Source organism: Homo sapiens, chromosome 15 (assembly GCF_000001405.40).
Source record: "Homo sapiens chromosome 15, GRCh38.p14 Primary Assembly".
NCBI classification, from domain to species: domain Eukaryota; kingdom Metazoa; phylum Chordata; class Mammalia; order Primates; family Hominidae; genus Homo; species Homo sapiens.
The window spans coordinates 30,761,427-30,775,367 of record NC_000015.10 but is presented as its reverse complement, the minus strand read 5'-3'; the positions used below and the strand labels follow the sequence as shown (position 1 = coordinate 30,775,367).

Genomic DNA, 13,941 nt, shown 5'->3' with positions numbered 1-13,941 from the left:
TTGCACTTCCCGGGTGAGGCGATGCTTCGCCCTGCTTCGGCTCATGCTCGGTGTGCTGCACCCACTGTCTGACAAGCCCCAGTGAGATGAACCCGGTACCTCAGTTGGAAATGCAGAAATCACCTGTCTTCTGCGTCGCTCACGCTGGGAGCTATAGACTGGAGCTGTTCCTATTCGGCCAACTTGGAACTGCCCCACCAATTTGATTTCAATGATATTTGCACCGATGCTATATTTTCTGAGAATTCATTAAGTTGTACAGTTATGTTGTGATTTCTAGAGGTATGCAATACTTCAGTAAGAAACTTTGAAATATTTTGACTTTGTCTTGTTGGCTTTGCTTTGTAGTAGGTTTTGCAGTGTGACTGTAAGGTGGCTACTTGGAATATATTTGATGTTAAAAAGCTGTTACTTTATAACAAAACATAAACAAGCAGGAACTGAGCACATGGACATGTAGTTTTATATACTTGCACCATTTAGATTAGTCCGACCATTATGATTCACTCTTAGTACAAATTTAACATTAAATTAAAATCAGTGGTGTTTATTCCTAGAGGCCTGATTATAATCAGCAAAATAATTCATGCTAAAAGCTGCAAGATTGCAAGGTAAGCATCAATATTTTACAAGAAACCATGGAGAATACTATCCAAGGAGTCACCATGACTAGTTAGGCAGAGGACACATAGAAGCAGAAGGAAGAAAACTTTCCAAATATCAAGAAATAAAAACAAAACGATGATAAAGCTGGCTTTTTCAAAGGGCTTCTCAGTGGTGTACTGGGTTGGCCCCAGAGGGACTTTGGCAAATCTAGTCCTCAAAAGTAAAATGAGAGAAAATGACCATTGATGAAGGGCATGAAATTGCATTTTGTATGGAAATATTCATAACTGTCCTCTGTTCAGGCCCTATTATGTTCCATTTCAGTGTTGCGGATACCTTGTTTCATTCATTCATACCACCATTTTATAACTGCAGAAACTAAGGCTTGGCAAGTTAAACTACTTGGTTCAGGAACCCCAGCAGGCCAGAGAAGGGTGATAAGTCAGACTCAGGATGTTCTGACTGGCTTCAGCAAACTGCACAGAAACACATGGGCTCCCTGCTACTCCTATGGGTCCTGATTACAATCTGCCTCCCTGAGGCGGCTGCTTCCACCTTCTCCCCACGGGGTGGCCACCCTCCAAGATAGCCCCCAAGGATCCTTCTGTGTGGCCCCCTCCACTTTGTACTAGGGTTAGTCTGTATGACCGATGGATTATAGCCCATGTGATGGGATGTCACTTCCGAGATTACTCCATGACAGACTGTGGCTTCCATCGTAAGCTGTCTCTTTACCTCTCTCTGATCACTTGCTCTGAGGGAAGTCAACTGATGCCTTACGAGGTTGCCCAGGCAGCCAGGGAAGAGGCTGTGGTGAGGCTCTGAGGTCTCCTGCTGACCGCCAGTGAAGAACTGAGGCCACCAGCAGCCCTGCGAGTGGGGATGGAAGAAGGTCCTGCAGCCCCAGCTGGACTGCAACCTCGAGAAGGACCGTGAGCCAGTTACGCCACGCTTGGATTTATGAGCCTCAGAAATGGTGTAAGAAATATATGATGGTTATCTTAGGCTGCTAAATTTTGGGATGATTTTGTATGCGGCAATAGATGACTAGTACACCACAATATCAGACTTTGACTAAACATTACTGATTAAAAAAAAAAAAAAAAAAAAGAACTGCAATGGAATGACATACAAATGCACTAGAATGGCTAAAGTTAAAAAGACTGACAACACTAAACATCAAAGATGATGGAGCAAGCAGGACTCTCGTATGTTGTTACAGTGGGAGTATAAAACAATATGAACACAATTGAAAAGGCCTAGCAGTTTCTGTAATACTCAACATACCTCTGCCTATGACCCCGGCTACATCTACCTGGGATCCAGAGAGTTCACTAATAGGTGTTTACCCAAGAAAAACAAAGCCACATCTCCATAAAAAGACTTTTACAGAAATGTCTGTAGTAGCTTTACTGATAGTAGCCAAAGCCAGAAACCACCCAGATACCCATCAAATAGTGATGGATAAAAAAAAAACTGTGGTATAGCCACACAATGAAACACTACTTAGCACACTTCATTCTTTCTTCAAAAGAAATGAACTGCTAATATACTCAACATAGATGAATTTCAGAAATGTGCTTGGTGGAAAAACCAGACACAAACCTTGCACACTGTACACTTTCATTTATACGAGGTTATGGAACAAGCAAAATCAATCTAGGAATGCAAAAAAAAAAATTGAGAACAATGGTTGCTGAGGGGTGGGCTGAGGTGGGGAGGGGTTTTGACCAAGAAAAGAAGTGAGGAAACTTTTTGAAAGCAAGGTAGTGTTTGATTTTTTTATTACAGTTTCAGACACAAGGTTTGTCTATTCGTCAAAACCTATTAATGGCATACCTAAGTCTTGTGCATTTCACTGAACATAGATTTTACCATAAAGAAGAACCAAAAACATATTGCACTCCAGTTAATAATAGCCAGGCAGAAACATTTAAGGTGAAACATAAGCTACATATCTGCAACTTAACTTGAAATATATAAAAAATTAGATGAATTGATGGATTCATGGAAGAATGGATAGATGGATAGGTACATATATGTGATAAAGAAAGTAGGGTAAAATGTTAATTGTAGAATCTAGGTGGTGGGTACATGGTGTTCACTGAGCAATTCTTTCATCTTTTGCATGTTTGAAAAATTTAATAGTATACTAGTGGGGAAAATATTTGAGAGTGGTGAGTTCTGTGTGTGCGTGGAACTATCTGTAACTTGGAGGAGCTAGAAAAATCCATTTGGACAATGTGTTCATGGACTCAGAAAATCAGAATATAATTTTTTTGAGGCAGGGTCTCACTGTGTTGTCCAGGCTGGATTGCAGTGGTGCAATCATAGCTCACTGCAGCCTTGACCTCCTGGGTTCAAATGATTCTCCTGCATCAGCCTCCTCAGTAGCCAGGACTACAGGTGTGAGCCACCATACGTGGTTAATTTTTGCATTTTTAGTAAAGACAGGGTCGTACTATATTGCCCAGGCTAGGCTCCAACTCCTCGCCTCAAGTGATTCTCCTGCCTTGGCCTCCCAAAGTGCTGGAATTACAGGCGTGATCCACTGCACCTGGCTTGTATTTGTTTTAAACCAATTTTGATCTCTATCTTGGAGGCAGATCCAGTTCATTAGAGATCATTCCTGTGGATGCCTCTTCAACTTCTACACTACATATTCATTTCTCACCTTAGACCCTTCAGATGATCCACTGCAGTGAATTCTTACAATGTTATGCTTTCTTGGTACCTATTTTGAATATATGTTGGACTTTCTCATACCAGAAGCAGGGCTTAGTCATCCTTGAAAGTTTCCACGTCTCCACCTCTTCCCAGGCCCTCAAAATGGTCGATCCAGAGATGTGCCTTATATAGCTGCCTCCTGGTGACCAAGTCCCTAAGGGACAGCTAGATGCAACCTACTTGACCCACCCTGCAGACCCTCACACCCGGCATGGACTGCCCAGATATGCTGCCATGACCACCTCTCCCTCACAACATGGCCTCCCGTAACTTGTGCCTACCTGATCTAAGCCAACGAATTACAACTTCTTGGGAACCTGCTGGGGTGATGGCCTGGACCCCATAAAGGCTTCAGCTCTCAGGGCCCACACTCCATCTCTCTTGCTCCCCACCTGCTGGCGAGCACAAGGGTCCTGACGGCTCCCCCAGTCCAGCGTGCTGCCCTCTTCTCTCTGGACCTGCGAGGAACTCACTGCTTCTGGTATTTCATGGGTTTTGTTGAGTGGCCTCCTCTGTGTCTCACTTGACCAACACACCTGATCCTAACTTCTTTCCAAATTCAGAACTCTCCTGAAGAGTGGCTATCTTGGTAGGCTAAATAAATAAATACACCAGACACAGACAAGAGACTCAAGGGTATCTAAGAGGGTAAACAAGTTTCTCATGAGAGACCTGGGCACAGGTCAGACACAGGGATTCTGCCATCCACCAGGATAAAGAAGTACCCCGTGAAGGCACATCATAAACATGCACAACCACCTCCCCTGGAGCCCCATCAGGGCAGGGCTGGAGTTCACAGCCACTCTACAGAGAGAGGGAGACCTCAAAAGCAAACTAAAAGGAGAAAAATGCAACCCCCTCTCTCTGCCATTGCTGACAAAAGCCAGTCTATGGCAGTTTCCACAAAGCACGCAAACCAGCCATGACCTCGCATCGGGTCTTCCTTGGCGTCTCCTCTTCCACGACGTTTCTCTACACACACTCTTCCCAGGGCACCTGGACCTACTCCCTGCCTTTACACAGCATATACGTCCCTGCCAGCACGCCACGGCGCATGCTCTGTGTTCTGCCCGGATGTTCTCCACCCGTCTCCACCCACCATGCCTCTGTCTGTCAAGGCCCTCCTTCACGGAGCTCCGTGCATGCTCATGGTCGGAGTTCCCTCCTCATCCCTCCAGGTCTCTCTTCCTACAGGCTTCTCCCGGCACAGTGCCCATTTGCCCTGTATACAGCAGGCAATGTTCCTGCAGGTCTGCACCAGGGCATGAGTGACGATGACAGCGATGGAGTCCTATTCCCCTGTGCTTCACAGAGCAGGGGCCGCCCCACACAGAAACCACCCAAGGCTTCCCCAGTGTCCTCGCCTCGGTTTGGGGCCCTTTTTTCCTGAAGGTTTCCATCGGGCTCTGAGTGAAACCTTTAACCAAAGGGAGTGTGAAGCAGGACAAAAGGACAGCAAGCTTTCCTCAAGGTTAGGACCCTGGGGATGCAGACAGGACTCTTCCCACCTTCTGGAACCTGCCTCTGGCACCCAACCATTCCCAGTCTTACTGGATGTGACAGGAAGAAAATCAGCTCTAACTTCAGTTCCACCTTTAACTCCAAAGACACCGTCAGCAAGTCCTAGGTCCTTAGTGGTTCTTGGTTTCTGCCTTCTAAAGCGAGGGGTTTGAGCCCCTCCAAGTCTGTGATCAGAGCTTTTAAACCCCAAGCAAAGCTCCCTTCATAGTCCTTCTTGGCAAGTTTTGACCCACTGCTAGTCCTTCCCTATCTAGAAAGACTCTCCTTTGTTTTGACCCCAAGTAGCCCCCATTTCCTCTTAGGAAAACCTGGTACTAAATACGGCACTACCTTGGCACTCCTGGGACCTACAGGTCACCTTGCTCACTGCCCTCAATTTTACAGATGAGAAAACAGAGAGCAGAAGATCAAGAAATTTGTTGAAGACTGCACAGTAAATTAGTAAGGCCTAGGGCTAGCGGAGCAAATAATATTTCCTGCCTGAAAACACAAAGACCTCCCATCCAAACATCCTTCCCAGCAGCCAATGGAACCAGGCGGGGAGAGACCTGGGGGCAGAGAGCCCCGACACCGCCTTGCCGCTGCACTGAGGATGGCGCCTGGTGCTTCCAGGGAGAGTGTGTGAAGGCGCTAACTCCAACCTGGATGTTTCAGAAAGCAGACAGTGGGGCATGTACTACAACTCTCTTATTCAACATAAAAGAATGCAAATGATAAAATTCTAAGATGCCTAAGTGGGGTTTGAAAAAGTCGATGTAACTGGAGGTTAAATGTGACATGTGAAACCCACAAGCAAGTGAAGATCTGAAAACTGTCTTGTTAATTCACTTCAGGCTGCACAGTTTTTGCAGGGACAGCTGTGGCTACAAACGTGGGCCATGTGGGAAGGGCACTCTCCCTGCACTGTCACCTGCATGCCCAGGATTGACAAGGAGAGCCACTGCCCCCCACCTGCCGGCTGGTCTCCAGCAGCATGAAAACAGGGGGCGTGGCAGTTCCTGCCATAAAGAGGAAAATGATACACTTTATCCCAGATGCCAGGTGCTGTCTGCATCAGTCCTTTTAAAAATTTAATCGCTTTATACAATTGACACCAAATAAAATGCACATATTTAAAGTTTACAATTTGAGAAGCTGACACGTGTCCATACAGACACACCTCATTTTACTGTGCTTTACTGTATTGCCCTTTGAAGATACTGCATTTTCTTTTTACAAATTAAAGGTTTGTGGCAACCCTGTGCTGAGCAAGTTTATTGGCATCATTTTTCAAACAGCATGCACTCACTGTGCATCTCTGTGTCACATTTTGGGAATTCTCACAGTATTTCAAACTTTTCCATTAGGATTATATTTGTTATAGTGACCTGTGCTCAGTGATCTTTGATGTTACTGTTGTAATTACAACAGTTCTGGTTCTGGGGCACCACGAACCACACCCACACATACCGATGAACTTAATAAACGTTGTGTGTGTTCTGACTGCTCCACTGACCAGTGATTCTCCGGTCTCCCTCTCCTCAGGCCTCCGTATTCCTTGAGACACAACATATTAAAGTTAGGCTATTAACAACCCTAAAATGTCAAGTTGTTCAAATGGAAAAAAAAAAAAAGAATAGAAAAGTTAGAAGCTAGCAGAGGTTGGTTCATGAGGTTTAAGGAAAAAAGCCATCTTCAATAACATAAAAGTTTTATGTTATAGCACTGGGGAAGTGGCAAGTGCTGATGGAGAAGCTGCAGCAAGATCTCTAGATCTTAGAAGATCTAGTTAACATCGCTGATTAAGGTGGCTACACTATACAACAGATGTTCAATGTAGACAACACAGCCGTCTATTGGAAGAAGATGTTATCTAGGCTAGATGAGAATAAGTCTCTGCCTGGCTTCAAAGCTTCTACAGACAGGGACAATTGTAGCTGGTGACTTTAAGTTGAAACAAATGCTCATTTATCATTCTGAAAGTTCTAGTGCCCTTAAGAATGACACTAAATCTACTCTTCCTGTGCTCTATAGGAACAAAGAAGCCTGGGCACAGCACATCTGTTGATACCTTGGTTTACTGAATATTTTAAGCTCATTGCTGAGACATGCTGCTCAGAAAGAAAGATTTCTTTCAAAATATTACTGCTCATTTGACAATGCACCTAGTTACCCAAGAGCTCTGATGAAGATGTTCAAGATCAATGTTTTCATGTCTGCTAATACAACATCCATTCTGTACTCCACGGATCAAGGAGTAATTTTGACTTGCAACTCTTATTACTTAAGAAATACATTTTATAAGGCTATAACTGCCATAGACAGTGATTCCTCTGATAGATCTGGGCAAAGTACATTGAAAACCTTCTGGAAAGGATTCACAACTCTAGAAGTCAATAAGAACATCTATGATTCATGGGAGGAGGTCAAATTATCGACATTAACAGGAGGTTGTAAGAAGTGGATTCCAACTCTCATGGATGACTTTGTGGGGTCCAAGACTTCAGTGGAAGAATTAACTGCAGATGTCGTGGAAGAGAACTGGAATTAGAAGTGGAGTCTGAAGATGTGACTAAATTGCTACAATCTCAAGTTGGGGAGTTGCTTCTTATGGATGAGCAAAGGAAGTGGTTTCTTGAGATGGAATCTGCTCCCGGTAAAGATGCTGTGAACATTGCTGAAATGACAAAAAGGATTTAGAAATTACAAAATGCATTTGATAAAGCAGCAGCAAGGTTTCAGAGGACTGAGTTCAATTTTGAAAGAAGTTCCACTGTGGGTAAAATGCTATCAAATAGCATCACACATGCTACAGAGAAATCTTTCATGAGAGGAAGAGTCAATTAAATGCATCAAACTTCATGATTGTCTTATTTTAAAAAATTGTCACAGCCACCCCAACCTTCAGCAATCACCACCCTGATCAGTTAGCAGCCATAAACATTGAGGCAAGACCCTCCACCAGCAAAAAGATTATGACTCACTGAAGGCTCAGATGATTGTTAGCATTTTTGGCAATAAAGTATTTTTTCAAATCAAGTTATGTACTTTTTTAGATATAATGCTATTGAACACTTAGTAGACTACAGAATAGTATAAACATAACTTTTTTTTTTGAGACAGGGTCTTGCTCTGTCACCCAGACTGGAGTAGAGTGGCACTATTTCTACTCACTGCAACCTCTGTCTCCTCAACTCAAGCAATCCTCCCACCTCAGCCTCCCCAGTAGCTGGGACTACAGGCATGCACCACCAAACCAGGCTGATTTTTGTAGGGTTTTTTTTTTTTTTTCTCAATAGAGACGAGGTCTCACCATGCTGCCCAAGCTGGTCTGGAACTCCGGGCTCAAGCTATCCATCCTCCTTGGCTCTCAAAGTGTTGGGACTACAGGTGTGAGCCACTGTGCCTAGCCAACATAATTTCTATATGCACTAGAAAACCAAAAAATTCATGTGACTTGCTTTATTGCTATATTTATTGCAGTGGTCTGGAACTGAATCTGCAATACCTCTGAGGTCTGTTATCACCGCAAGATACCATACATATCTACCACTCTCAAAAGATTGCTCAGGCCAGGCGCGGTGGCTCACGCCTATAATCCCAGCGCTTTGGGAGGCTGAGGTGGGCGAATCATGAGGTCAGGAGATCAAGACCATCCCGGCTAACACAGTGAAACCCCATCTCTACTAAACTACAAAAAATTAGCCAGGCATGGTGGCGGACGCCTGTAGTCCCAGCTACTCAGGAGGCTGAGGCAGGAGAATGGCATGAACCCAGGAGGCAGAGCTTGCAGTGAGACGAGGTCGCACCACCGCACTCCAGCCTCCCTCTAAAAAAAAAAAAAAAAAAAAAAAAAAAAATTCCTCAGCTGCTTTGTAATCCCCACTGCTCACTGCTGCCCTCAGCCCTATCTGAGGCAATCACTGACCTGCATTCCATCGCTATAGATCACTATGCATTTCCTAGACTTTACATAAGTGGAATTGCACAACATGTAGTTTTTTTTTTGTCTCACTTCTTTCACTTCATGTAATTATTTTGAGAGTCATCACTGTTGTTGCACGTTATCAATAATTCACTCCTTTGGATTGAGAGCCGAGTAGCATTCCAGTGTATGTATCTACCACCATTTGTTTACCTGTTTACCTGTGATGGGCATTTAGGTTGCTTCCAGTTTTTTAGCCCTCACTAAGAATGCTAAAAACATCTGTGTACAAGCTTTGCTATGGGCAAAGGCTTTCGGTTTTCTTAAGTAAATAAATAGGAGTAAAATTTGCTGGATTGTACACTAGGTACATGTCTAATTTTGAAGAACTTGCTGAATTGTTTTCTAAAGTGGCTGCACCACTTTCCATTCAAAACCAGCAGCGTACAAATTTACCAGTTTTTCCACATCCTTGCTGAGATTTGGTATGCTCAGTATTGTTGGTTTTAGTCATTCTCATAGGTGTGTAGTGCTATCTCATTCTGGCTTTAAGTTATATTTCCCTAAGGATTAATGATGTTGAGCGTCTTTTCACCTGCTTATTTGCTATCCATGTATCTTCTTTGGTGAAGTCTGTTCAAAGCTTTTGCTTATTTTTAATTGGATAGTTTTTACAAAAATAATTGAGTCATGAGAGCTCTTTACATATTTTAGAAACAAGTACTTTACCACATATATGATTTGCAGTACTTTCTTCCAACTTGTAGTTTATCTGTTCATTCTCTTAGCACTATCCTCAAAAAGCAGTTTAAGTTTTAAATGAAGTCCAATTTATTAATTTTTTCTTTTATGGATTGTTCATGGGGTATTGTCTCTAGAAAATCTTTTCCTAAGACAAGGTTAAAAAGATTTTCTCATGAATTAATGGCATTTGAGCGACCTGGATGAGACTGGAGACTATTATTCTAAGTGAAGTAACTCAGGAATGGAAAACCAAACATCGTATGTTCTGACTTATAAGTGGCAGCTAAGCTATGAGGATGCAAAGGCAGAAGAATGACACAATGGACTTTGAGGACTCAGGGATAAAAGACTACAAATAGGGTTCAGTGTATACTGCTTGGGTGATGGGTGCACCAAAATCTCACAAATCCCCACTAAAGAACTTACTCATGTAACCAAACACCACCTGTATGCCAATAATCTAAGGAAATAAAAAAAATAATAAAAATAAAATAAAAAGATTTTCTCCTGTGTTTTTTTCTAGAAGACTTTTTTAGCTTTAGGTTTTATATTTAGGGATACCATCCATTTTAAGGTAATTTTTGCATATGAGTGAGATGTAAACCAAAGTTCACTTCTTTTGCATATATAAATCCAATTATCCCACAATTTGTTGAAAAGATGATTTTTTTGCACTGAATTACTTTTGTATCCTTATTGAAGATCAGTTGTCCACATATGTAAACTGTTTCTTAACTTTCCAATTTGTTTCATTGATCTAATTCTCTACATTAAAAAAACTACTTTACTGTATATATTAAGGTATATGATATGATGTTCTGATACACTTATACATAGTGAAATGGTTATTATAGTCAAGCACATTAGCTTATTCATCATTTCACGGTTACCCCTTTGTGCATATGTGTGTGTATGTCTGTGAGTGGTAAGAGCAAATTTTCTAGTACACTATGCAATATTATTAATGATAGTCCTCATGTTGAACATTTGATCAATATCACAGTTTTGATTACTGTACTCTTATGAGTTTTAATATCAGGTATTGTCAGACTTCTGATATAGTTTGGCTCTATGTCCCCACCCAAATCTCACTTTGAATTGAAATCCCCATAATCTCCACGTGTCAAGGGCAGGACTGAGTGGAGGTCATTGGATCATGGGGGCAGTTTCCCCCATGCTGTTCTTGTGAATAATGAGTGAGTCTCACAAGATCTGAAGGTTTTATAAGTGTCTGGCATCTCCCCTGCTTGCACTCACTCCGTCCTGCTGCCCTGTGAAGAAGGTGCCTGCTTCTCCTTTGTCTTCCACCATGACTGTAAGTTTCCTGAGGCCTCCCCAGTAATGTGGAACTGTGAGTCAACTAAGCCTCTTTCCTTTATAAATTACCCAGTCTTGGGTATCTCTTCATAGCAATGTGAGAACTAATACGCCTTCTAACTTTATTCCAATTTTTCAAAGTTTGTTTTGTTTATTCTCTATCCTTGGATTTATGTATGGATTTTAAAGTCAACTTGTTAATTTCTACATAAAAAGCTGGTTTGGATTGTTATTGAGATCGTACTGAATTTAAAGCGATCTGGGGAGAACCAACATCTTAACAATATTGAGTCTTTTGACCCTGTATATGGTACACTTAACCCTTTATTTAGGTTTTTCATCTCTTTAAGCAATCTTTTGAAGTTTCAGTTGTAAATTTATTCACATTTTATATTTTTGGATGCTACTGAATAAAGTATTTTTAAAATTTATTTTTAAAAATAATGCAATTATTCATTGCAATTGTAAAAATGCAACTGACCTCTCTATATTGATTTTCTATCTTACAACACTGCTAACTTCACTTACTAGTTCCAAAAAATGCTTTTAAATTCCATTAGATATTCTACATATGTCATCATGTCACCTGTGAATAAAGATAGTTTGCTTCTTCTTTTCCAATCTGGATGCTTTTTAATTATAATTTATTGTTTGACTGCACTGGCTAGAATGTCCAGGAAAATGTTGGATAGAAGTGGTGAAAGAGGGCATCCTTATTTCCCTCTTGATCTTTGGGGAAAAGCTTTCTTTCATCACTAGGTGTCAGGTTAGCTGTAGGCTTTTTTGTAAATACTTTATATAAGATTGAGGAGGTTTTCTTCTATTCCTAGTTTTCTGAGTGTTTTCTAAAAATCAAGAACGAATGTGGATTTTACCAAAGGCTCTTTCTGCATTTACTGAGATGATTGTATACCTTCTGTTTCTCAGTATATTAATATGGAAAATTATGTTGATTGGTTTTTGAATGTTAAACTAGTTTTGCATTCTTGGGATAAAACCCACTTAGTCATGATGTAGTATCCTTTTTATATAATGCCAAATTCGATTTGCTAAAATTTTTTTCAGTATTTTCACACTTTTCTTCATGAGGAATATTTGTCTGTAGTCTTTCTTGGTTTTGTATTAGGGTAATGCTGGCGCAAAGAATGAATGAGTTGAGAAGTACAAACCCTTTTCAATTTCCTGGAAGAGCTGGTAAAATTTTTCCTTTATATGTGTGGTAGAATTTACCAATGAAGCTATAGATGCTTGCAGTTATCTTTGTGAGAAAGTTTTAAACTACAACTTAGATTTCATTAATAAACATAGAGCTATTCAAATCATTTATTTTTTTTCTTGTATAGGCTTTGGTATTTTGTACCTTTCAAATAATTTGTGAATTTCATTTAACTTGCTGCATTTATTGGCATAGAATTGTTTATAATATTCCTTTATAATCCTTTTAATATCTTGAGAATCTGTACTGAGGTCATCTCTTTCATTCTTGATATTGTTAATTTGTATCTTCTTTTTCCTCTGATTATGTGGCTATGGGTTTATCAATTTTATTGATCTCAAAGACCCCACTTTTGGTTTCACTGACTTTCTCTACTATTTTTCCATTTACTATTTCATTGTTTTTTGTTCTGGTCTTTATTATTTCATTTCTTCTGTCTGGGTTTAATTTATTTTTCCATTTAGTATTTCATTGTTTTTTGTTCTGGTCTTTATTATTTCATTTCTTCTGTCTGGGTTTAATTTGCTTTTTTTTTTTCTAGTTTTCAAGATAAAAATTAAGGTAACTGATTTGAGGCCCTGCTTCTTTTCTAATAGAGGTGTTTAACTTATACATTTTCTTAGAGGTACTGTTTCCTTGAATCATTTTTTCCTATTGTTCATGCCTCTCCTTCAAGGATTCCAATTACACTTATTTTAGGCTGCTTACATTTTTCCACAGCTCACAGATGATTTAATTTTTAATTATTTTTTCTTTTTTAGAGATGAGGGTCTCATTATGTAGCCCAGGCTAGCCTCAAACTCCTGGGCTCAAGCAATAATTCTGCTTCAACCTCCTAAGTAGCTGGGATTACGGATATGCACCACTGCACCTGGCTTTCACTGATGCCTTTAATATTTCTTTACTTCTATTTTTTTCTGTGTTCCATTTTGGATATTTTCCATTGCTATGTCTTCATGTTCACTAACCTTTCTCTTTTTTTGTATTAAGCAATGTGCTGTTAATTCCATTGAGTTACTTTTTCATCTCAGATGTAGTCTTCATCTCTGGAAGTTCAGCTCAAGCTTTAAAAAGTATGTTCCATATCTTTACTTAAACATCTGAACAGCATCTCAATATGTACCTTATTCTATTCTATAGAGTACAGTTATTAATAACTTTTAGTGCCCTTGTCTGATAATTTTAACATCTCTAGCAGTTCTGGTTTGACTTTGATTGAACAGTTTCTCCTCATTATGGGTCCTATGTTCCTGCTACTTTGCATTCCTGATAACTTCTGATTGGGTGCCAGACAGCAAGACTTTTACATTATTTGGTGCTGGACAAGTTTATATTTCTATAAATGTTATTGAGCTTTGTTGTAGAATGAAGTTACATTTCTTGGAAATACTCTTGAGAGAGGAGGTAAAAAGAGACCAGCTAGGCAGATAGTTAGGGCAGAGAGTCCTCGGCAGAACTTCCCTTCTACCAAAAAGCAGCCCAGGAAATCACTCCTCTTCTAACAGAAAGCAGCCTGGAAGACCCGGCTGCAAACAGATAAGGAAGCTGGAGTTTGCATCGGGGGATGCTTGCAGCTGCACAGACAGAAAGGGGTACCTGAGGCCAGGTGTGTCCACCATGGAGGCTCCACCTCCCCCTTTGAAGCACATACACAGTAGGAAAGCAACGTGGAGTAGCTCAGGCAAAAGACCTGCCTGTATAATAAAAGGGTGGGGTGGGGGATGCCAGAGATTCATGCTCTACGCAGATGGCACACCTGGGGTTTTTCACACCCTATGTAGGTAAGATAACACCTCACCTCCCCACTAGCTAGCTTATAAAAACCCTTGAATTTCACTGCTGAATGGCAACGCTTTTAATCCCTCTCTGCTGCAGAGAGCTGTTATCTTTCTTTTGCCTAATAAAC

General features: G+C 40.9%; 1 pseudogene across 3 annotated transcripts in view, besides 1 other annotated feature; it reads right to left on the bottom strand.

The window, feature by feature from the left end:
• Positions 1,263–1,528: a silencer, noted in NCBI's record as "fragment chr15:31066043-31066308 (GRCh37/hg19 assembly coordinates)". NCBI's record gives its function as "represses an EF-1alpha promoter that drives an FKBP-Casp9 reporter gene in an ReSE screen in phorbol 12-myristate 13-acetate-treated (for megakaryocytic differentiation) K562 erythroleukemia cells {active_cell/tissue: K562(+PMA)}" and the evidence as "EXISTENCE:reporter gene assay evidence [ECO:0000049][PMID:32094911]".
• Positions 2,359–13,941, bottom strand: part of LOC100288637 (OTU deubiquitinase 7A pseudogene) — a 126,895-nt pseudogene continuing 115,312 nt past the window's right edge. For all 3 annotated transcript variants that reach the window (NR_038253.1, NR_038254.1, NR_038255.1), the window contains one exon: positions 2,359–7,510. The product of NR_038253.1 is annotated as an OTU deubiquitinase 7A pseudogene, transcript variant 1 (transcript). The remainder of the gene's footprint in view (positions 7,511–13,941) is intronic.